The 25705-nt window shown below is 36.2% G+C and overlaps 1 protein-coding gene across 1 annotated transcript in view, besides 1 other annotated feature; it reads right to left on the bottom strand.

Annotated features, from left to right (window-relative positions):
• UBR3 (ubiquitin protein ligase E3 component n-recognin 3) overlaps positions 1-25705 on the bottom strand; it is a 256678-nt gene that overhangs the window by 108126 nt on the left and 122847 nt on the right. Inside the window, exon 24 of the mRNA NM_172070.4 lies at positions 17480-17568. Within this exon, the coding sequence (NP_742067.3) occupies positions 17480-17568 (89 nt within the window). The remainder of the gene's footprint in view (positions 1-17479; positions 17569-25705) is intronic.
• Positions 21551-22750: an enhancer, noted in NCBI's record as "MED14-independent group 3 enhancer chr2:170809766-170810965 (GRCh37/hg19 assembly coordinates)". NCBI's record gives its function as "activates an origin of replication core promoter dependent on BRD2, BRD4, P300/CBP and CDK7 cofactors, and independent of MED14, by STARR-seq in HCT116 cells {active_cell/tissue: HCT116}" and the evidence as "EXISTENCE:reporter gene assay evidence [ECO:0000049][PMID:35650434]".

Here is a 25705-nt window from a genome sequence, read left to right as displayed (position 1 = left end):
AGAAAAACATGCAGATAAAACAGGCTTTAAGTCCAAAACTGTAAAAAGAGAAAAAAATGGTCATTATATAATGATAAAGAGATCAGTTCAAAAAGAGAATATATATATATATATATATATGTTTTTAATTGCAGATCCAGATATATGCAGATCCAGATAATTGCAGATCCAAAAAGGAATTCTGAATTCCTGTTTGTTTTTTTAGAGACAGAGTCTTGCTGCTCTCTTGCCCAGATACAATCATAGCATACTGCAGTCTTGAACTCCTAGCCTCATGTAATCCTCCCATCTCAGCCTCCTGGGTAGCTGAGACTACAGACACAAGGTACCACACCCAGACAAGAGGATACAACAATTCTAAATACATATGCACTCAATGCCAGAGCACCCAAATACACAAAGCAAATATTAGATATCAAGGAAGAGACAGACTCCAATACAATAATCGTTGGCAACAGCCCACTCTCAGTACTAGACAAATCATCTAAACAGAAAATCAACAAAGAAACACTGAATTTAAACTGCACTTTAAGCCAAATAGACCTAACAGACTTTTACAGAACATTTCAACAAAAGCAGCAGAATACACATTCTTTTCATTAGCACATGGAACATTTTCCAGGATAGATCACGTTAGGCCAAAAAACAAGTCACAACAAACTTAATGGAATTTAAATCAGATCAAGTTTATTTTCTGACCACAATGGAATATAACTGGAAATTAATAACGAGGAACTTTTGAAACTGTACAAATACATGGAAATTAAATAACATGTTCCTGAACAACCAATGGATCAAGGAAGAAATTAAGAGGGAATTTTTGTTGTTGTTTTTTTGAGACAGGGTCTCACTCTGTCATCCAGGCTGGAGTACAGTGGCATGATCTCTGCTTACTGCAACCTCCACCTCCCGGGATCAAGCAATCCTCCCACCTCAGCCTCTCAAGTAGCTGTACTACAGGCATGCACCACCACACCAGGCTAATTTTTGTATTTTGGGGTTTTGCCATGTTGTGCAGGCTGGTTCTGAACTCCTGGACTAAAGCAATCCACCCGCTTGGACTCCCAAAGTGCTGGGATCACAGGCAAGAGCCACCATGCCCAGCCTTAAGAAAGAAATTTAAAAGTTTCTTGAAACAAATGAAAATAGAAACACAACATACCAAAACCTATAGGATACAGCAAAAGTAGAATTAAAAGGAAGTTTATAGCAATAAACACCTACATTGAAAAAGTAGAAAGATTTCAAATAAACAACCTAATAATGTATCTCAAGGAACCAGAAAAGCAAAAATAAACCAAACTTAAAATTAGCAAGAGGAAGGAAATAATAAAGATCAGAGCTGAAATAAATAAAATTGAGAGTTAAAAAATGCAAAAGATCAATGAAACGAAAGGCTGGTTTTGTGAAAAGATAAAATTGACAAACCATTAGCTATACTAACCAAGGAAAAATGAGAAAAGACTCAAAATAAAATCAGAAATGAATAAGAAACATTACAAACGATGCCACGGAAATACAAAGGGTCATTAGAGACTATTATGAACAACTATATGCCAACCAATTGGAAAACCTGAAAGAAATGGATAAATTCCTGGACACATACAACCTACCAAAATTGAACCAAGAAGAAATTAAAAATCTGAACAGATAAATATTGAGTAATGAGATTGAATCAGTAATAAAAAGTCTCCCATCAAAGAAAAGCCCAGGACCACATGACTTCACTGCTAAATTCTGCCAAAATGTTAAAGAACCAGTACCAATTCTTCTCAAACTCTTCCAGAAAAATAAGAAGGGAATTATTCTGAACTCATTCTACAAGGCAAGCATTACCATGATACAAAAACCAGACAAAGACATAACAAAAAAACTATAAGCCAATATCCCTGATGAACACAGATGCAAAAAATCCTTAACACATACTAGAAAGCTAAAAGATCACTCACCATGATCAAATGTGATTTATTCCAAGGATGCAAGAATTGTTAAACATATGCAAATCAATAAACGTGATACATCACAGCAACACAATGAAGGACAAAAATTATACAATCATCTCAAAAGATGCAGAAAAAGCATTTGACAAAATTCAACATCCCTTCATGATAACCCTCAACAAACTAGGTATAGATGGAGGTATGTCAACACAATGATGACTGTATATGACAAGTCCAGAGCTAACATTATACTGAATAAGGAAAAGCTGAAAGCTTTTCCTCCAAGAACTGGAACAAGACAAGGATGCCCACTCTCACCACTCTTTTCCAACACAGAACTGAAAGTCTTAGCCAGAGCATTTAGGCAAGAGAAATAATGGGCATCCAAATGGAAAAGGAGGAAGTCAAATTGTCACTAAGTGCAAATGACTTGACTTTACATATAGAAAATCCTAAAAGCTTTGCCAAGAAACTCTTAGAACTGATAAGCAAATTCAGTAAAGCTTCAGGATACAAAATTAACATAGAAAAATCAGTAGTGTTTCTAGTATAGTTTGAAGTCAGGTAGTGTGATGCCTCCAGCTTTGTTCTTTTGGCTTAGGATTGACTTGGCGATGCGGGCTCTTTTTTGGTTCCATATGAACTTTAAAGTAGTTTTTTCCAATTCTGTGAAGAAAGGCATTGGTAGCTTGATGGGGATGGCATTGAATCTGTAAATTGCCTTGGGCAGTATGGCCATTTTCACAATACTGATTCTTCCTACCCATGAGCATGGAATGTTCTTCCATTTGTTTGTATCCTCTTTTATTTCCTTGAGCAGTGGTTTGTAGTTCTCCTTGAAGAAGTACTTCACATCCCTTGTAAGTTGGATTCCTAGGTATTTTATTCTCTTGGAAGCAATTGTGAATGGGAGTTCACTCATGATTTGGCTCTCTGTTTGTCTGTTGTTGGTGTATAAGAATGCTTGTGATTTTTGTACATTGATTTTGTATCCTGAGACTTTGCTGAAGTTGCTTATCAGCTTAAGGAGATTTTGGGCTGAGACAATGGGGTTTTCTAGATATACAATCATGTCATCTGCAAACAGGGACAATTTGACTTCCTCTTTTCCTAATTGAATACCCTTTATTTCCTTCTCCTGCCTAATTGCCCTGGCCAGAACTTCCAACACTATGTTGAATAGAAGTGGTGAGAGAGGGCATCCCTGTCTTGTGCCAGTTTTCAAAGGGAATGCTTCCAGTTTTTGCTCATTCAGTATGATATTGGCTGTGGGTTTGTCATAGATATTTCTTATTATTTTGAGATACGTCCCATCAATACCTAATTTATTGAGAGTTTTTAGCATGAAGGGTTGTTGAATTTTGTCAAAGGCTTTTTCTGCATCTATTGAGATAATCATGTGGTTTTTGTCTTTGGCTCTGCTTATACGCTGGATTACATTTATTGATTTGCATATATTGAACCAGCCTTGCATCCCAGGGATGAAACCCACTTGATCATGGTGAATAAGCTTTTTGATGTGCTGCTGGATTCGTTTTGCCAGTATTTTATTGAGGATTTTTGCATCAATGTTCATCAAGGATATTGATCTAAAATTCTCTTTTTTTGTTGCGTCTCTGCCTGGCTTTGGTATCAGAATGATGCTGGCCTCATAAAAAGAGTTAGGGAGGATTCCCTCTTTTTCTATTGATTGGAATAGTTTCAGAAGGAATGGTACCAGTTCCTCCTTGTACCTCTGGTAGAATTCGGCTGTGAATCCATCTGGTCCTGGACTCTTTTTGGTTGGTAAACTATTGATTATTGCCACAATTGCAGCTCCTGTTATTGGTCTATTCAGAGATTCAACTTCTTCCTGGTTTAGTCTTGGGAGAGTGTATGTGTCGAGGAATTTATCAATTTCTTCTGGATTTTCTAGTTTATTTGCTTAGAGGTGTTTAGTATTCTCTGATGGTAGTTTGTATTTCTGTGGGATCGGTGGTGATATCCCCTTTATCATTTTTTACTGCGTCTATTTGATTCTTCTCTCTTTTCTTCTTTATTAGTCTTGCTAGTGGTCTATCAATTTTGTTGATCCTTTCAAAAAACCAGCTCCTGGATTCATTAATTTTTTGAAGGGTTTTTTGTGTCTCTATTTCCTTCAGTTCTGCTCTGATTTTAGTTATTTCTTGCCTTCTGTTAGCTTTTGAATGTGTATGCTCTTGCTTTTCTAGTTCTTTTAATTGTGAATGTTAGGGTGTCAATTTTGGATCTTTCCTGCTTTCTCCTGAGGGCATTTAGTGCTATAAATTTCCCTCTACACACTGCTTCGAATGCATCCCAGAGATTCTGGTATGTTGGCTACAGTAACCAAAACAGCATGGTACTGGTACCAAAACAGAGATATAGATCAATGGAACAGAACAGAGCCCTCAGAAACAACGCTGCATATCTACAACTATCTGATCTTTGACAAACCTGAGAAAAACAAGCAATGGGGAAAGGATTCCCTATTTAATAAATGGTGCTGGGAAAATTGGCTAGCCATATGTAGAAAGCTGAAACTGGATCCCTTCCTTACACCTTATACAAAAATCAATTCAAGATGGATTAAAGACTTAAACGTTAGACCTAAAACCATAAAAACCCTAGAAGAAAACCTAGGCATTACCATTCAGGACATAGGCATGGGCAAGGACTTCATGTCTAAAACACCAAAAGCAATGGCAACAAAAGCCAAAATTGACAAATGGGATCTAATCAAACTAAAGAGCTTCTGCACAGCAAAAGAAACTACCATCAGAGTGAACAGGCAACCTACAGAATGGGAGAAAATTTTCGCAACCTACTCACCTGACAAAGGGCTAATATCCATAATCTACCATGAACTCAAACAAATTCACAAGAAAAAAACAAACAACCCCATCAAAAAGTGGGCGAAGGACGTGAACAGACACTTCTCAAAAGAAGACATTTATGCAGCCAAAAAACACATGAAAAAATGCTCATCATCACCAGCCATCAGAGAAATGCAAATCAAAACCACAATGAGATACCATCTCACACCAGTTAGAATGGCAATCATTAAAAAGTCAGAAAACAACAGGTGCTGGAGAGGATGTGGAGAAATAGGAACACTTTTACACTGTTGGTGGGACTGTAAACTAGTTCAACCACTGTGGAAGTCAGTGTGGCGATTCCTCAGGGATCTAGAACTGGAAATACCATTTGACCCAGCCATCCCATTACTGGGTATATACCCAAAGGACTATAAATCATGCTGCTATAAAGACACATGCACACGTATGTTTACTGCGGCATTATTCACAATAGCAAAGACTTGGAACCAACCCAAATGTCCAACAATGATAGACTGGATTAAGAAAATGTGGCACATATACACCATGGAATACTATGCAGCCATAAAAAATGATGAGTTCGTGTCCTTTGTAGGGACATGGATGAAATTGGAAATCATCATTCTCAGCAAACTATTGCAAGAACAAAAAACCAAACACTGCATATTCTCACTCATAGGTGGGAATTGAACAATGAGAACACATGGACACAGGAAGGGGAACATCACACTCTGGGGACTGTTGTGGGGTGGGGGGAGGGGGGAGGGATAGCATTGGGAGATATACCTAATGCTAGATGACGAGTTAGTGGGTGCAGCGCACCAGCATGACACAATGTATACATATGTAACTAACCTGCACAATGTGCACATGTACCCTAGAACTTAAAGTATAATAAAAAAAAATCAGTAGTGTTTCTATACATCAATAATAAACTAGCAGAAAAAGAAATCAAGAAAAAAACTCACAACAGCTACAAAAAAAAAAAAAAAAAAACCTAGGAACAAGTTTAACCAAGGAGGTAAAAGCTCCTACAAGGAAAACTATAAAACACTGATGAAAGAAATTGAAGTCATCACCAAAAAATGGACAGACATCTCATGTCATGGATTGGAAGAATACTGTGAAAATGACCACACTACCAAAAGTGATCTACACAATGCAATCCCCTATCAATACCAATGACATTCTTCACAGAGGTAGAAAAAGAGATAGAAAAATTCATATGATATGGAACCACAAAACATCCTGAATAGCCAAAGCAATCCTGAGCCAAAAAAAAAAAAAAAAAAAAGCTGGAGGCATCATACTTCCTGACATCAAAATATACTACAAAGCTATATTAATCAAAATAGCATGGTACTGGCATAAAAAACAGACACAGGCCGGGCGTGGTGGCTCATGCCTGTAATCCCAGCACTTTGGGAGGCGGAGGTGGGCGGATCACGAGGTCAGGAGATGGAGACCATCCTGGCTAACACAGTGAAACCCCATCTCTACTAAAAATATAAAAAAATTAGCCGGGCATGGTGGCAGGCGCCTGTTGTCCCAGCTGCTTGGGAGGCTGAGGCAGGAGAATGGCATGAACCTGGGAAGTGGAGCTTGCAGTGAGCCGAGATTGCACCACTGAACTCCAGCCTGGGTAACAGAGCAAGAATCCATCTAACAAAAAAAAAAAAAAAAGACACAAATGGAACAGAATAGAGAACACAGAAATAAATACACATATTTACAGCCAACTGATTTTCAACAAAGGTACCAAAAACATTCAGTGCTGGGGAAAAGACAGTCTCTTCAATAAATGATGTTTGGAAAACCAAGTATCTGTAAGCAGAAAAATGAAACTAGACCCTTATCTCTCAATATATTCAAAAATCAAATCCAAATGGATTAAAGACTTTCTAATACCTCAAATCATGAAATTACTAGAAGAAACCACTGTGGAAATGCTTAAAGCGTTGGTCTGAGTAAAGATTTTTTTGTGTACGACATCAAAAGTACAAGCAACAAAAGCAAAAATAGATAAATGGGGTTATATCAGCTAGAAAGCTTTTGTACAGCAAAGAAAACAATCAACAGAGTGAAGAGACAACCTACAGTATGAGAGAAAATATCTGTAAACTATCCATGGGACAAAGGATTAATAACTAGAATACAGAAGAAACTCAAACAAGTTAATAGCAGAAAATAATCCAATTTGAAAATGGACAAATTATCTGATAAGTCATTTCTCAAAAAAGACATACAAATGGCCAAACAGGCATATAAAAAACAAAAAGGTCAACATGATTAATCCTCTGGGAATACAAATCAAAACTGCAACAAGATATCATCCATCTCACCCCAGTTAAAATAGCTATTATCAAAAAGAAAACAATCACAGATGCTGGCAAGGATGTAGAGAAAGGGCATGCTTGTATACTACTAGTAAGAATGTAAATTAGTATAGCAACTATGAAAAACAGTATGGAGGTTCCTCAGAAAAGTAAAAATAGATCTACCAAATGACCCAGCAATCCAAGTGCTGGGTATATATTCAAAAGAAAAGAAATCAGTATATTGAAGAGCCAGCTGCGTGTCCATGTTTATTGTTATCACAATAGTGAAGACAGCACCCTAAGTTTCTATCAACAGATGAACAAAGAAAATGTGGTGGGTGTGTGTGTGTATAGAATGGAACATTATTTAGCCATAAAAAGAGTGAAATCCTGTCATTTACAGCAACATGGATGGAACTGGAAGTCATTATGTTAAGTGAAACAAGCGAGGCACAGAAAGACAAATATCACTTTTTCTTACTCGTATGTGGGAATTTAAAAAGTGAATCCTGTGAAAGTAGACAGCAAAATGATGGTTACCAGACGCTGGGAAGGGTTGGGGAGGAGGATATGAAGAGAGGTTGGTTAATGCGTACAAACATACAGTTATAGAAGGAATAGTGTTTGATAGCACAGTTGGGTAACGATAGTTAACAATAATTAATTATGTATTTAAAAATAACTAAAAGATTTGAAATGTTCCTAACACAAAGAAATGATAAATGTTTGAGCTGACAGACATCCTAATTACCCTGATTTGATCATTACACACCATATTCATGTATCAAAATATCACATGTGCCTCATAAATATGTAGTTATTATGTATAAATTTTTGTAAATATTAAATTTTTTTAAAAGAATGAAGAGTATCTCTACACACTGCATGGTAGGATCTCCTGGATATGACATTAAGTGAAAAAGCAAGGTAGGGAAAGTGTACATATGTGTTACCTAAGAAAGGTATACACTTACCTAAGAAAGGGACTCTAGGAAAAATTAAATATTTTATATCTCAATATACATAATTATATATATTTATATAAGAAGATATATTCATATCTCCAGCCCTACTTCTTATATAAATGGTAGCACACAAAGCAAATATATAGGTATTTGCTTATACTGTTAAAAATAAAAGGACAAATCACAAATTAAACTGTATTATTAAATAAAACAACTCCTTCCATCTATAACAACAATAAAAGTCAACCAAATCCTGCAATGTGGCTGCTCTCAGCTCAGACTCTCCTACTTTCCAAAGGAAATCTTAATGTAAGATGCTGTTCTTATCCACCCAGTAGCTATTGTCCTTTCTGATAACAAACAACAGGCCTCAATTTTTGTTGACAAAAATCACTCCTTCACCACCCTTTTCAATTCCTACGATTTAGGTGGGACTGACTGTACAACCACACAAGAGTGGTAGAGTCACAGCAAGGATTTTTGCTGTGTCTATTGGAAATGGAGTGTTTTCACTCTGTTTTTTAAAAATAAAAAAATAAAACTTTTCCCAACACTCAGAATATCACTTCTATCCTGTGCCTGAAGCACTCAACCAACCATCAGGTCTATTAATTCTTATTTTGCAATTGATCTCATATCTATCCCTTCCTATCTATAGGCTACCAACTGTGTGTGGGGGGGGGCGGGGGGCGCATACCCTGTAGGGGGGTGGGGGGGGCATACTCTCCTCAATTTGCTTTAATATGAAGAAATAGTAAAGAGCATGCAAAACTTCTTGATTAATAGCTCTTGTTCCACACTTACTACTGTATAACCTCAAATTTACTTAATCTCTCTAAGCCTAGGCATCTGTATGTGGGATAATACTACCTATCTCATGGATGTGTCAAGACAAAATGCAATATACAGAATGTATTATCACAGTGCTGAGTACACAGTTAACATACAAAAATATGTTTCATCCTCATCATGATCAACCACCAAAATTCATACTCTTGGACCCAGACCAAAAATAGAGGAAAAACTGTATGTACATAATGTTTATTATCATTAATATTAGAAAAAAAAACCCTACACAGTCCACTTGTGGGTGAATGATTAAGCAAGCTGTAGAATAAAAATGATGACAGCAATAGCCAACGTTTATATAATGCTTATTATGTACCATTCTATTCTAAGCATTTTAAATGTACGTACATTTGACCCTCTCAACCCTATGAGGTAGTATAAAAATTCCTTTGTAACAATGTGAAAACGAGGTAGAGAGAAGTTAAGTAAATTACTCGAGGCAATGGAGTGTGGCTGAGCTATAAACCCAGTCAGGCTCCAGAGTCCATGCTCACAACCACTACACTATACTGCTTCCCCAAAGAAGTACAGACTTTAATAGTTACAAGAAGCTTTCAATAATAATGTAGGGAAATTCTTACACTAAAATATTGGGTAAAAAGGCATGGCATAAAATTGTGCTATATAGTATAATCAGTAGTGTACATGTTATTTGGATAGTGGGATCAGGGATAAAATTGTTCCTTCTTGAGGCTTTTCTGTACTGTATAAATTTTACAATTAAAATGTAATATGTTTAATAACAGAAAGTAATTCCCAAATAAATTCTTATTCTTTATTAAGTACCTGAACTCTCACTGGGAACGTAATTCTGTTGCATTTCAGCTATACCTATCTGACAAACCGGACAAATCTTAATGGATCAAGGTTATAATCTAACACCTTGACTCCTACACATAGATGGCTAGTAAAAATTAAAAAAGGTGGTGGGGAGGATAATGATCAAGAAAGAAGGATGAAAGGAAATGCAGAAGTAATACTGCCTCTTCATGTAGGAAACTTGATAACTAGAGAAAGGCATTAAACAGATAGGCAAGAGTGCTAATCACAGTAGAAATGTGTTGCATTCAGAGAGAAAAGTTTTCATACTTAAACTACCTAATAATGTACTATATTTGATTAGAGGATTTATAACATACTGTATGTTATAAATTTGAAATATTTTGTATGTTATGCTTCTACATTAGAATTTTTGTTATATACAAAGATATAGACACAATAAAAAGGAGCAACTACAGTAGTCTCCCCTTATCTAGGATTTCACTTTCCATGGTTTCAGTTACCTGTGGTCAACCATGGTCAGAAAATATTAAATGGAAAATTTCGGAAATAAACAATTCAAAAATTTTAAACTATGCACCATTTTGAGTAGCGTGATGAAATCTCATACTGTCCCATTTGGTCCTGTCCAGGATGTGAATCATCCCTTTGTCCAGCATATCCATTTCTGTTATCAGATCAACTGCTGTAATATCCCAATGCTTGTGTTCAAGTAACACTTATTTTACTTAATAATGGCCCCAAAGTATAAGAGCAGTGATGCTGGCATACTGTTGTAATTGTTCTATTTTATTATTGTGTTGCTAATCTCTTACTGTGCTTAATTTATAAACTTTATCATGTATAGGAAAAAAACAGTATATATGGGGTTTGATACTACCCATGGTTAGTTTCAGCCATCCTCTGGGGGCCTTGGAACAGATCCCCAGTGATAAGGAGATACTACTATACAGATTATTTATGTCCTTACAACACAGATATGAAATAAGACACACAAAAAAAGGAATTTGACAAATGAGGGAGAGGATCTGGCTAAGGTTAAATTGTATCAGTACTGCTGCCAAGTATTAATACTACTTCAGGTATAGGCCCTGCTTCGTGTGTTAATAATACTATAGTACAAAAAGTGACATGTAAATAGTCATTAAAAGCAGAACAACATGTGACTTTGCAAGTTTTATCTTGAGCAATGGGTGAAAATGGGGTCTCAAACAGGCTTTTTGGGGTCAGATATCTCTGGAAAGAGACTGTTATAAATAAAGGGAATACAGAATCAGTGTGATCTGGAATCCTAGTGGTGTGGCCATGGCCAACATAAACAAATGAAATGCCCGTAAATCTTTATTGCCTCACCTGTCACCACTGCAGCATACAAGAACCGAGACTGGGAGAAAGTAGAGCTCATTATCCTGAAGACTTCTGTGAACTGCCTCTGTTTGCTAGCAATCATATTTGCCTGATCCCTCAATTGTTCTTCCTGTGCCCTGGCTACTGCCAAAAGAGGTCAAACCTTCCAAAAATTAGGACATGGAGTCAATAACTTTGCACTTATGACATTCAAATCTATGATCTTGACTATAACTGAGCTGTAAGCATTGTTTATCAATCTTTATTTATAGTCAGCTTTCATGACCAATGTCTCCCACTCTCCTCAGCAATTCCAAACTTCAGGTCACATTCTTTTTCACCCAGAACTCACCTTTTACCTAACCCTGAAAACTAAAGCAATCAAACGTCATCTGCCTGAGCTTCCCATTTCCCTTAAAGCCAGTGGAACTTACCTCTATCTCCATCCATTCTTTCCTCCTTCCCTCCAGTTTCCTCAGAGGATAAGGTGACCATTCTCTTATTCAAGGCAATACCACCCAATCTGCTCTGGGTACGTTGCTTAATTGATTCCTCAGAAAATTGTTTTTGTTTTGTCTCACTTGTGAGTGGAAAGTAGCAAATAAAAACAATTTCTTAAAGTATTAATTAAGCTTTTCTCTTAGTTCTTAAAATTGCAAACATACTGACATGGGTGAACTAAAACTGTACATCAGACTAGTTACATCACCTGACAAAAAAAGGACTGCTCTTAAGTAACTTCAGAGCACAAAACTTTGACTATATATCTTTGGTGGGATGCAATGAGGACAAAATAATCTGTAAACAATTTAAAATTTGTTATACTTTTTAAACATTTTTTTTAAATTTAAGAAATTTAAAAGTTTTATTCAATAATTTCATTGTTTAACATAGTACTGAGTTAGATATTCTGAAGCTATTTTCTTTGTTTTGTAGGAAAGTAATTTTCTTAGGTATGATGTACTGTGATTGTGTAAGAGAAGATTCTCAATCCTAAGGCATGCATGTTAAAAGTATTTAGCAGTAAGGTCTGCAACTTACTTCATTTAGTAGAGAGAAAGCAAGAGAACAAATACAGAACAATGTTAACAAGGTGATGGTTATATTGGTATATGGGTGTTCACAACACTATTCTGTCAGCTTTCCTCTATGTTTGGAATTTTTCATAAGAAAAAAATAGCATTGTAAAACCTCATTTTGGTAAAAAATGCATTTATATGCATATGTACTTAGAAAAAGTCTTGTAAGGGTATAACCTAGGTTAGGAAATCTGGTAGTAAAAATATATTAGTTCTTATTTTTTATTATTTGTGTTTTCTAACTTTTAATAAAAAATTTAGTGCTTTTGTTATAAAAAATTAACTTTATACACTGAAATAATACATATTAAGTATTTAACTCAAGATTACAGGCTAAATATCTGCTTTTGTCCCGCATTCTTTTTTAAAAAACTCCTACTGAAATAAAGATAGAAAAAAAAATGAAGAAATATTCCCACAGAATATAGAAAAAGGATGAAGTGGTAGGAGAGAATTTCACCAGCAAATAAGAGATGTCAATAACATTTCTGAGACTGGAGGAGAAAGAGACATGATGACAGAGAAAAGATATGTGATATCGGAAAGTTACAGAAAAGGAAGAATTGATCTATCCATTAGAATGTCAACTCTGGGCTCAGAATCAGCACATGAGGCAGAAGACAGGAGCCATAAGTATAAAATGACTCTGAAAACAGAATAATTATTTGAAGGACTGTATACAGACTTCACTACATAGCACCCCAATTCCTTCCCCAACTCTGACTAAACAGAGCATCCAGGGGGCTTGGCATTTACCTCACAGAAAAAACGGATCATCCACAACAACAAAAACCAGCCTATTCTTATCCAAAGAAACTGAACAAGCAGCTTAGAGAAAACTGGGGCTTCTAACGTGAATGTTAGCATCTGGGCGCTCTGACCTAGAGCAGTCAGCCCTTCTCCCAACCCTAATCCAAATCTGACAGTCAACACACTTTACCCATGTACACAGACTAGAGACAATTACTAGGACCAAACCTCTTTACACCTCAGTAAAATAAACCCACAAGAGCTACCCAGACCACCTCTCCAGGACAATCAAGAATCATCAGGCAAATGAGGAAAACTAGCAACATGAAAGACTAACATAAGTTTTTCAAGCAATTTAGAAGGATAATTTAGAAAAACAGATAAAGAAAAAAAAGAAACACCCTAAACTCTTTCAGAAAGATTTTTAGAGAAAATTCTATACACATAGTAAGAACAAGATACTGAAGAGAGGAAATCTCTATGTATGTAAAACAAAAAGAACAAATGATATAAAAGATAAAACACATTAAAAAATTAAAAGATCAATCTAGGAGATCCAACATCCAATTACGAGTCCCAAAAGAGAATAAAATGTAAGAAGGAAAGTATTGCTGTATAACAAAATACCCTGATGCTCAGTGGCTTAAAAAGAATTATCTCAAACCGTTTCTGAGGGTCAGGCATCTGGGAGCAGCTTAGTGGTATGGTTCTGTCTAAGGAGCTCTCCTGAAATTGCTGTCAAACCTGCAGTCATTTAAAGGCTTAACTGGCACCAGGTGCAGTGGCTCACACCTGTAATCCTGGACTTTGGGAGGCCGAGGCAGAAGGATTGCTTTAAGGCCAGACCAACCTGAGCAATACAGAAAGTACCTTGTCTCTTTAATTAAAAAAAAAAATTTTTAAGAAAAAAAATAACAAAATTAAATAAAAGCTTAACTGGGACAGGAAGTTTCACAACCAAGCTCACTCACACGACTGTTGGGGCAAGAAGCCTCAGTTCCTCACTCACATGGGCCTCCGCAGGGATACTCATGACATGGCAGCTGGCTTCCACCAGAATGAGTAATCCAAGAGAGAGAAAAAGTAACAAAGACAGAAGCCACAACGTCTTTCATTACCTAATATGAGAAACAATATACCTTCACTTCTGCCATATAGGTCATGCACTTCTATGTAGAAGACTACACAGGGCATCAGGACCAGGAGACAGGGATCATTCAGAACCATCTCGGAGGATGACTATACCAGTTATCAAAAAAAAAAAAAAAACATGGGAAAAAATTCTCATAGTTTCAGAGATATGAATCTTCAGACTGAAAAGGCTCATTGAGCACTAAGGAGGATGGGAAAAGATCTCATAGATACAAATGATAAAACTTCAGATCTCTAAGGATCAGATAATCACAAATGTGTCACAGGAAAGGAAAAAATGCTCACCTACAAAGGTGTAAGAATTAGATTACCACCAGACTTTTTATCAAATGAACGGTAAAAGACAAAAGGGCAATGCCTTCAGTTGTAAAGTTGTGACAGAAAATGTTTATCAACCTGGAATTCTATATCCATCTAAATGAACAATCAAGTGTGAGAGTAGACTAAAGTCCCTTCCAGAAATAAAGAATCAGACGGTTTAGCTACCAAACATGCATTATTAAGATCTGAACCAGGCATGGCAGTGCATGCCTATAGTCCCAGATACTAGGTAGGCTGAGGTGGGAGGTCTGCTTGAGCTCAGGAGTTCAAATCCAGCCTGGGTAACATAGCAATACCTTGACTCTTAAAAAAGAAAAAAAATGTATATATATACTTGAATTGGTACCCCAATAAAATAAGATTTTTTAAAAAGATGACGTTAATATGTAAGAATCTCTATTATCAATCCCAAAAGGGGAAAATCCTAAGGTAATAGCTATAAGGCATGCCTGGAGAACAAATGGACCAGATTGGAAAAGAACTGGTCCATTGGAAAAGAATTCCATGCAAAAGACTACTGTATGATTGAGTAGATAGAATAATAGAGATATCATAAAGGCACATTGGTTCTTGCTACAATAAAATTTTAAAAATAAAATTTTAAAAAGACAGTTGGGGAACTTCAAGGAAAACAAAAGGCAACATAACAAAGTCATGGTCCATATAGAAACAAATAAGAGGTGGTATGGGTTTAGCAATCAAGGGACTGGAAGAAAAGAGGCTACGTACTAAAGATAGTCTCTTTGAAGGGGTCCAGGAGTTGAGCCACTGGACTCAAAAACAGTCGATGTAGAACCATTATGTAGCACATTATCTAGTCTTGTACTCAACAGCATTCAAAAAGTCATACTAATACAAACTCTTCATTGTTTTAATGTCTTCATATGGAAGACATTAATGTGACTGCAAAACAAAATGTCAGCAACTTTGACAATTTAAAAGTTTAAAAGTATCTGAAAAAAGGCAAGAGGTAAAAGAGGAAAGGAAGGATGGGGTGCTTATTAGTTCATTTTATATGAAGCGGTATCAAGATACTGACTACTACAATAGAACGATACGTAAATATTGTAATTATATTAAACATGTAAAAAAACAAAAATATAATTATCAATTTTTGTAAAGAAGAGAGAGAGAAAGGGAAAGTAGTGTCAATAAACTAAACCCTCTTCTTTCATATGATAAAGTCAACTGATGCTAAATAAATTCCATAAACAGAATTTCAGTACAGGTTAAGTATCCCTTATCTGAAACGCTTGGGACCATTAGTGTTTCAGATTTCAGTTTTTTTCAGATTTCAGAATATTTACATAGATATAAAGAGATATCTTGGGGCTGGAACCCAAGTCTAAACACAAAATTCATTTACGTTTCATACATACTTTATGCATACAGGCTACGGTGATTTTATACAATCTTTTTTTTTTTTTTTTTTTTGCTCTTGTCACCCAGGCTGCAGTGCAATGGCATGATCTTGGCTCACTGAAACCTGTCTCCTGGTTCAAGCAATTCTCCTGCCTCAGCCTCCTGAGTAGCTGGGATTACAGGTGTGCACCACCAAGCCCAGCTAATTTTTTTGTATTTTTAGTAGAGACGGGTTTCACCATGTTGGTCAGGCTGGTCTCAAACTCCTGACCTCAAGTGATCCACCCACCTCGGCCTCCCAAAGTGCTGGGATTACAGATGTGAGCCACCGCACCCAGCCTTATGCAACATTTTAAATAATTTTGTAAATGAAATATAGTTTTGACTGCAACCCATCACAAGAGGTCAAGTGTGAAACTTTCCACTTGTGGCATCATGCCACAACTATATGCCAACCAGTTGGAAAACCTAAAAGAAATGGATAAATTGGCCTTTGGTCTTTCAGACCTGTAACAATGGCCTCTTGGGGGTTTTCAGCCTTCAGCCTCAGACCGGGTACTGTACTTTCAGCTTCTCTGGTTTTGAGGGTTTTAGACTTGGAATGAACTATGGTACTAGCTTTTCTCATCCCCCAGCTTGCAGATGGCTGATCATGGGATGTCATCTTTGTAATTACATAAGCCAATTCTCCCTAGTAAACTCCCTTTCATATATACATATCCTACCATTTCTGTCCCTCTGGAAAAACCTAATAGAGATTTTGAACTTCATAGCTCTCCAGTAACAGACCCAAATGAAAAGGAAATCAACAATTGCCAGAAAAGGAACTCAAAAGACGAATCTTAAGTTAAAAACTTTCCACTTGTGGCATGATGCCACAAGTGGAAAGTCAATGCTCAGAAAGTTTTGAATTTTGGTACATTTTAGATTTCAGATTTTCAGATTTTCAGATTAGGGGTGCTCAATCTGTATTCTTTCTGTCAAAGTTATATCCTGAACATTAACTACACTAGATGGTTTAGAACCCATTAGGCTAAATCTGAACTGATCGCTATACATTTCTTCAGGAAGTTGGTTATGAGTTTAGGTAAACAAAAATGCATGAAAATGTACATGCCTGCTTGAATGCATATATGTGTGTATTTTAACTAAATGCATGACTTTATTTTCTTTCCACAATTTTTTCTAAAAATCAAAGAAAAAAATTTGCTGGAATGGAAGAAATAGTCAGGGAAGGGAATACCCTGGTTAACTAAAGACTGACACTGAGATTTAATCTATTTCTCCAATGTGTGTAAAAGGCTACTATCATACAGAAACATGGTATCCTCTCTCACTGTATAAATTCTAATGCTAATCTTAATGGAAATGAGAAGTTCACCTGATTTTAAGAAATAATGAAGGGATACCAGAAAGAGGCACTAGAAGCATTTGAAACTATTTTAAGGATTTTAAGATAATTTCACAGAAAAAGATCAAGACAAGTAAATGTACATTGATGGATCTCACAAATCTAAAGACCGTTTAACAGAAGAGAACAAAAGGAGCATACTATATTGCTACCATCAGGAAGAACTTCCTAACAATTACAGCTACTAACAACAGAATATAATAAAAGTCTATAATAAAAGTCTGATCTTCCATCACTATATTGTTTAAGGACCAAATAAACACTAGAAATCAAAAGTGTGTAATGTTTTAAATTAGTAAAAGACTGGACTACATCATCCCTAAAGTAATAAGTATAATTATGAGAGTTCTAAACTAATAATTTTGACTTACCAACATCCATTGCAGTTTCCATAAAGCTTTTCTGTCGTGAAGCAAACTCCGCAAGCAATTTCTGCTGCCTCTCTCTAGCCTTCTGTCGCCTAGATTAAACAGAAATAAAGTTTTAAGTATCAGATGCGCTTAAGACCTAGCTACTATATTTCAGGAGTATATAATGTATGAAAAGCCCCTGGCACACAGGTGAGAACAATCTATTTTCTGTATTATGTATTAAATTTCTTCTAATACTTGATTGTCCTTAAAAGGATTCTACTAATTTTAAAAGGTTACAAACTCACTGGTTTAATAGATAAAAATAAAAGCCAAGATGTACTTTAAAATGTGAAATAATAATTAAGGTAGATAGAATATTTGGATTTCCAATAACACAAGTTCCTAAGTATACGTCAGAAGGTAGCAAGACCAAGAACATATTTTTTTAGCAAGAGACTAACAATTTAATCCCAGGCACAAATAACAGTAAACTGATTGCTAGAAGAAGCTATGATGTTTAGATATAAACAAAGTCTAAAAGATAGGAATAGTCATATTTACTGTTACCCTAAGAATAGGCCTCTCCTAACAGAGAATGAACAGAAGCCAGTAAGTTTCCCCGTTTCTACTAGGACATATTTCAAGTTTGGTTTATTTTGTATAAAGTAAAAGAATGTGAAGGAGTCTCAAACACAACATAAGAATAAAACTGTATTACAAAGCCCTAAATATTCCCTTGGATTAATTCACTATATTATATTTATTATGTATGCCTTATCTACTTCCAAAGAATATTTTTTTTCTTTTTGTAGCTTAACGGCTAATTTTATTTTATTATACTTTAAGTTCTAGGGTACATGTGCACAATGTACAGGTTTCTTACATATGTATACATGTGCCATGTTGGTGTGCTGCACCCATTAACTCGTCATTTACATTAGGTATATCTCCTAATGCTTTCCCTCCCCCCTCCCCCGACCCCACGACAGGCCCTGGTGTGTGATGTTCCCCTTCCTGTGTCCAAGTGTTCTCACTGTTCAATTCCCACCTATGAGTGAGAACATGCAGTGTTTGGTTTTTTGTCTTTGTGACAGTTTGGTCAGAATGACGGTTTCCAGCTTCATCCATGTCCCTACGAAGGACATGAACTCATCCTTTTTTATGGCTGCATAGTATTCCACAGTGTATATGTGCCACATTTTCTTAATCCAGTCTATCACTGATGGACATCCAAAGAATATTTTAATTGCAACTGGTTGCCAAAAAAAAAAAATCCACCAATACAGTGTTACCATAACATAAGAATAGGAAAATAAGTCAACTAATAAAGAAAGGAGACAGGTTTCTTCAGATTATGTGATGCTAACAATACTAGTAAGCATAAAGTTTCACTCCCAGTAAGGAAAAGTTAAATTAATAATTTAAACAAGAAGTGAAGGAGAGGAAGAAGAAAAAATGAAAGGTTAGAAAAGGTAAATTATATGTTAGTTCACGGAAGAGATAAATTTTTACTTGAACAAAACTCAAAGAGGAACTGATGTCCTTTGTGTCATACCCATAATACAGAAGACATGAGAACATAATGGACAGAGTATACTACAGCAGTTTCTTTAATGACCATTTATTATATCTATACAGTATAGAAGTCAAAGCATTATGTTAAACTGAGAGTCTATGCAATCACTGTTATGGGAAACCTAAAAGTATTTTTCTATTAATCTGATATGATTCAAGGATATAACATACAAAATTCAGAAGAATGAAATACAGTAATTTTTAAATTATCCACACATTTGCTCCCATGAAATTAGTGGGGATAATCAGGAGCAACTACAAAGTCAAGTTCTGTGGTCCACTTTACCATGAGAAGTTACATATTTTTGCCAATAATATTCAAAAAATTGTTAACACTCCTTTTCTAACATTTACAGATAATTTAGGATCCACATAAAAAACTCGCCTTATTATTTTATAACAACAATTCTTTTATACTGTTTTTGAGCCAAAATATTATTATCCAGGTTGATCACTCAACTTATTCATCAAAGTTAACTCTCAATGATGTTGGCCATTTCAAAAAATTAAATCTACCCATCCCCTCTCTTCCCTTTCTGAACATGTCCTAGCACAGAGTGTCAGGACTCGACAACCTGGCACGGGAGGGCATTTGTATGGTAAAAGATTAGAAGAAAGTGGTTATATATAAGGGAGTTGATTTTTAAAAAAGTTATATATATATATATAACATTTTAGTTAAATATATGTAATTTTTAACTAAAAAAGTTAAATATATCTATCCAGATAGATAGATACACAGATAGAGAGAGAGAGAGAGAGAGAGTTATAGGTGTCAGGTATCTCACTGCAGAAGTAGAGAGTTACAGAGTTACTCTGGAAACTGAGAAAGAGAGAAAACAAGAATGACTCCTAGAGGGATGGATTGGAATTGAAAGTATCAGAGTGAACTCACAGTTTTCAGTACATAAAGTCAGACATAAAACTAAATATAAATTTCTCCCTTCCTCTCTCACACTACCTTCCAACACAAACACAGACAAACAAAGAAACACACACACAATTTTCCCCAGCTCTGTCCTAAGAGGGCCTGAGACAGCTATACTTCATTAGAATAAACACATGGACTGGGGTTTCTAAATACCATTCTCTCCTAAAAGCAACCAGGACTCCTTGGAGAAATGGCTGACTCCAAGTACAGGATAAGCCTGCAACATCTTTTTTTTTTTTTTTTTTGAGATGGAGTCTCACTCTATGGCCCAAGCTGGAGTGCAGTGGCACGATCTAAGGTCACTGCAACCTCTGCCTCCCAGGTTCAAGCAATTCTCATGCTTCAGCCTCTTGAGTAGCCGGGATTACAGGCACGCACCACCATGCCCAACTAATTTTTGTATTTTTAGTAGAGACAGGGTTTCTCCACATTGGCCAGGCTGATCTCGAACTCCTGACCTCAGGTGATCTGCCCGCCTCAGCCTCCCAAAGTGCTGGGATTACAGGTGTGAGTCACGACACCTGGCCAAGCCTGGAACATCTTATTGCCCCAGAAAATAGGAATATGCTCAAAGAATGATGGGAATAGATCAAAAGGACCCGGAAACCAGCTTGACATGACTCCTAGTGGCCAAATCTGTAATAATTTGAGCACCAAAATTAATAACAAGCATATGAGATTATAACCCATAAAATAAAATAGGAACCCATGAGTCCACACTGATAAAAATAAATGAATATAAAGTTGATATGAATTGGGATATTACAATATCTCATAGTATCTCTCCACAAATTACGTATTAATTGTAAAGTGGGGTGGGAAAGGTAATTTGACTGTGAAGAAGTCTGGCAGACATGATCAAAGTTAATCACCAGTGATGAAACAAATTGAAATCATATAACAGCTTGTGGGATACAATGAAAAGAAAACAGCAACACTTCATTTACATTCCTGCCAAAGTTGTATAAACTGAGTCAAAACATAAAGGGAAAACAGACAATCCCAAATTAAGGGATATTCTACAATGTTACTACTGCTTCATAATCTTTAAAAGTGCCAAGGTTATGAAAACAAAAACTTCCATATTGAAGGAGAACAAAGAGGCATGACAACTAAATGCAAGGAGTGATTATGAACTGGATCTTTCTGCTATAAGAAATATTACTGGCTGGGCACAGTGCCTCACGCCTGTAATCCCAGCACTTTGGGATGCCGAGACGGGTGGATCACAAGGTCAGGAGTTCAAGACCAGCCTGGCCAACATGGTGAAACCCTGTCTCTACTAAAAATACAAAAATTAGCCGGGCATGGTGGCAAGCACCTGTAATCCCAGCTACTCGGGAGGCTGAGGCAGAGAACTGTTTGAACCTAGGAGGCAGAGGTTGCAGTGAGCTGAGATCGCGCCACTGCTCTCCAGCCTGGGTGACAGAAAGAGACTCTGTCTCAAAAACGAAAAAAAAAAAAAAAAGGTAAGTAACAAAAGAAATATTATTGGGGGCTAGGAGCAGCGGCTCATGCCTGTTATCACACCACTTTGTGGGGCTGAGGCGGGGGGATCACTTGAGCCCAGGAGTTTGAGACCAGCCTGGGCAACATAGCAAGACCTCATCTCTACAAATAATTTTTAAAAATTAGCCAGGCATGGTGGCACACACCTGTAGTCCCAGCTGTTCAGGAGGCTGAGGCGGGAGAATCACTTGAGCCTAGGAGGTCAAGGCTGCAGTGAGCCGTGATCATACCACTATACTCCAGCCTGAGTGACAGAGCAAGACCCTGTCTCAAAGAAAAGAAAAGAAATGAATTAAGAAGAGAAGACAAGACAAGACAAGACAAGACAAGACAAGACAAGACAAGACAAGACAAGACAAGACAAATCAAACATTATTGGGACAACTATCAAAACTTGGGATCTAAATCATACTCAAATACCACTATCAATCTGCTAATTCTGATAGTTGAGGGTACAAAGAACTTCCTGAACCATTTATGTAAGTTTAAGATTACTTCAAAATAAAAAGCTTTTTAAAATTAAATCCATCCTCAAAGGACAAATATTTGCCACAATGGAAGAAATGGAAGCAAAGAAAAATGTGCTCTAGATGCTCAAAGCACTCTAAGTGACCTCCAAAAATGCTATGAGCAACAACAGCATTGACAGACTACATTTTTGGTCTTCTGAATCACTAGTTCGTAAATCTGTAAGTTTTGCCATACTTCTTTAATTAATGCCACTCACTCTACAGCTCACCTTTAAACATGTACACTTACAATTAGAATACATATGTCCATAGAGTGTACTTTTTAAAAATCTATTAAACATAAGAAAACCTCAAATGTAACTGCTTGACACTAATACTAAAATGCATTTCTATAGCAGGTTTCTATACTAACCAGAAATGGGATGTCATTGTTGTGAATGTTTTCTTAATCGAGATTATTGCTTTTCTAAATGGGCATAAATGTAAATAAAGGCCATTAACAAGAACATATACAAGTTCTGGCAGATTCAGGACAACTCAAAAATTTTCCATTAACTCCTGGGTTAAAGACATTGAAGCTGCATTTTATTACAACCATCTAATGTTTTCTGCTTGCATCTTGTTTTCTATTAAGTTAATCTATTATGAAAGTGATGCTGAGTTTGTCTAAAGGTGAAGTACTTGGAAATGGATCCTCATTAAGTGTTTATGAACTGTTCTGCCTTTATTATGAAAATCCAAAACGAAACCAGAGGAAAGACAAATGTGAGAAGCACGGTGAGATCCAAATAGAGTCATCTTAATCCTTAGCTGTCTGCTACAAAATTAGTTTCAAGTCCTTGTCAATACCATCATTGTTCAAAGAAAACAAAACCTATCACAAAGAAAGCCTTTAAAATTTTTAGAATATTATTTATTACAATAGCATCAGGGCCTTTGTAAAAGCAGCATCTAAACTATGTCCTCCAGTATCACATTATTAGTAATAATTACAAAATTCCCTTAATCAAGAAAAACAGATTTTGATTCACTGTTTATCTTCTTTCAAAATAAAAGGATATACTATTATATAACAGAAAGAAGGATCTGACCACTAAGAGAGACCACTAATTAACAAAAATAACAATCTTACCTCATTTTCAACCTTCTAATTTTGTCAGTAGATTTATTACATTCTAGGCTATTACTAATTCAAACTTAATGAATGGTCATCTGAATTATATGTTACTGAATGTCCTTTCTCCCACGGAAACAAATTTTGTGTTAGTTCTTTATAACTCCAATTTAGGAATTCTCCTAAATTCTTAATCTACCATAAGCTTTTGCATATATTAATATAAATTTTTTATAACAAACTTTTTTTTTTGAGATGGAGTCTCATTCTGTCGCCAGGCTGGAGTGCAGCAGCGCGATCTCAGCTCACTGCAACCTCTGTCTCCCAGGTTCAAGCAATTCTCCTGCCTCAGCCTCCCTAGTAGCTGGGACTACAGGCACACGCCACCACGCCCAGCTAATTTTTATGTTTTTAGTAGAGACGAGGTTTCACCATGTTGGCCAGGATGGTCTTGATCTCCTGACCTTGTGATCCACTCACCTCGGCCTCCCAACAAACTTTTAATTACATCAGAGATGTAGTGTAACTATATATGTGACTAAAATTGCTCCTTATACAGGTACCAACGGATGACCTCCTAACTAACAAATCAAATAGGATGGCCAATCTTATTGAACTCCTGTAGCACTTAACAATTTTGATAAGTTTCTTGCTTTCTGAACTTCCTCTTGTGACTTCTCTAATGCCACTCACCCCAGTTTTTCTCTTACTCTGCTCAGCCATCCCTTCGTCAGTCACCTTTGTAGGTACCCCTTCCTCAGTCATTCCCTTTAATGTTTTTCCCTTAAGTTCTACATTCAGTCTTCTCATTTTCTTACTGTAAACCTTCTCCCATATACAAGGATTTACTACTACCTAGCTGCTCAAATCTGTAGCTCTAAGAATTCTCCCTTAAGTTTTAAACCCTATATCTGACTGGACACCTTCACCTGGGTGTCCCTCTTAAACTTAGTAGCGTCCAGAACTGAACAGATCACTTTTACTAATGAGCCTGGGACCCCTCCTACACTCCATTATCTTGGTAAAAGGAACATTATTCAAGTCAGAAATCAGGGCACCATTCAAGACATCTCCCTCATTTCTCACATCAACCTGATGACTGAGTCTAACAACTTGTACCTGCTAAATATCTCATACACATCTCCTCCTCTCTTTATTATCATCACTGTCTTAGTTCAGACCCTTACCACACCTGCCCCACTAGATGACTAAGTAGCTTGCTCTCCCAATTTCCAGTCTTACCCCACTCTAATCTACCCTCATGTAATTACCCTATATATTATTCCTCACTTAAAATCCTTCCACAGTTTCCCTGTAACCATTTATACCCTGTGCGAGTTAACGATACATGGTTACCTTCTTAGCCTTATGTCCTACTACTCCCATTAACACCCTGTGTACCTAAGATAGTATCTGTTACACTATGTTAACACTACTAACAAACTATCTGTTTACCAGTCTGTCTCTCCATTATAGTATCAATTCCTCGAGGTCAGGAAGTCCAACACCAGACACAGATATGTCTAGAAAACTGCTTGACTGACACCCAATGAATGAGAAACGGATCAATCAAGTAAGATCCATCTTAGGCTTGCTTCCACTGATCATTTAACCCATAACTGCCTATATTTAATTTTAAAAGTAACTAAGAAGATGAAATTATCCAGAAAATACCTCTAAAGTACACTTCAAACTGCTAAATAATGTATTAGTCATACTGCTCACAACAGTAGTCCAGATAACTCTGTTGACAATGATTTTTACCTATATAAAACAGATTGAGATGATAAAGGTCCTAGGTTCTTAAATTAAGATAATATTGATGTGATCTCTTTGGACCCTCCCTAACGGGAAATGTGTACCCTTCCCCTATAATTGTTGCTTTGGTAGACAAATTTGTCTTAAATAATAAAGAAATTAAAACAATGAATATTATTTATAACCTCAGAGAAGTGAGCAATGACTATCTTGAATTTGATCTGAAATCTTTTTTTTAAATGTCCTGGGTCTTTTAGCCTGTGTACACTCATTAGAAGGCATGCTCTTTTTTTTTTTCTTTAATAAACACTGAACCCTTTCCAAGAGTTTGACAATTATGCAGAGTTTCAATCTCTCAAGATTCACCTTGTCATGTTTATGACAGCAGGGTCAGCAATGTTGACAAGGCTCTTGGGAAACAATTTGTGACAATGCACAGTAACACAACTCTTCTGGCAAACAATGTACCACTAAAAAAAAGAACCAAACCATGCTCATAGTCCTTGACCCACAAACCCCACATAACATAGTATATATCTTGAGATTTTAAAAAAATCCCATTTTTTTTTCAAGAAAGTCAAAAGATGAAAAAAAAGTTTATAAATATAATTTAACAACAAATTATAAGCAACCTAAAGATCCAAAAGCTAGAAGCATAAGTTAGTCAGAATGTGTTTTAAAACATCACTTTTTAAAAATCAGCAATCATATATTAATAAAGATTAGAAAAGACCAAAAGAAACTAAAGCAGTTGGATTTTTATTTTGAGAAATATTTTAAATATTTTTAATATTCTCATTTAAAGCTGAACAGTTCAACTTTAACAGTAAGAGAATTATTAGATCCCTACAGCAATAAAAGCAGTAGCAATTTTTCCAAAGAGACAC

This window comes from Homo sapiens, chromosome 2 (genome assembly GCF_000001405.40).
Source record: "Homo sapiens chromosome 2, GRCh38.p14 Primary Assembly".
NCBI lineage: Eukaryota > Metazoa > Chordata > Mammalia > Primates > Hominidae > Homo > Homo sapiens.
Note: the sequence above shows the minus strand (reverse complement) of the source record. Positions and strands in the feature narration are given on the sequence as shown.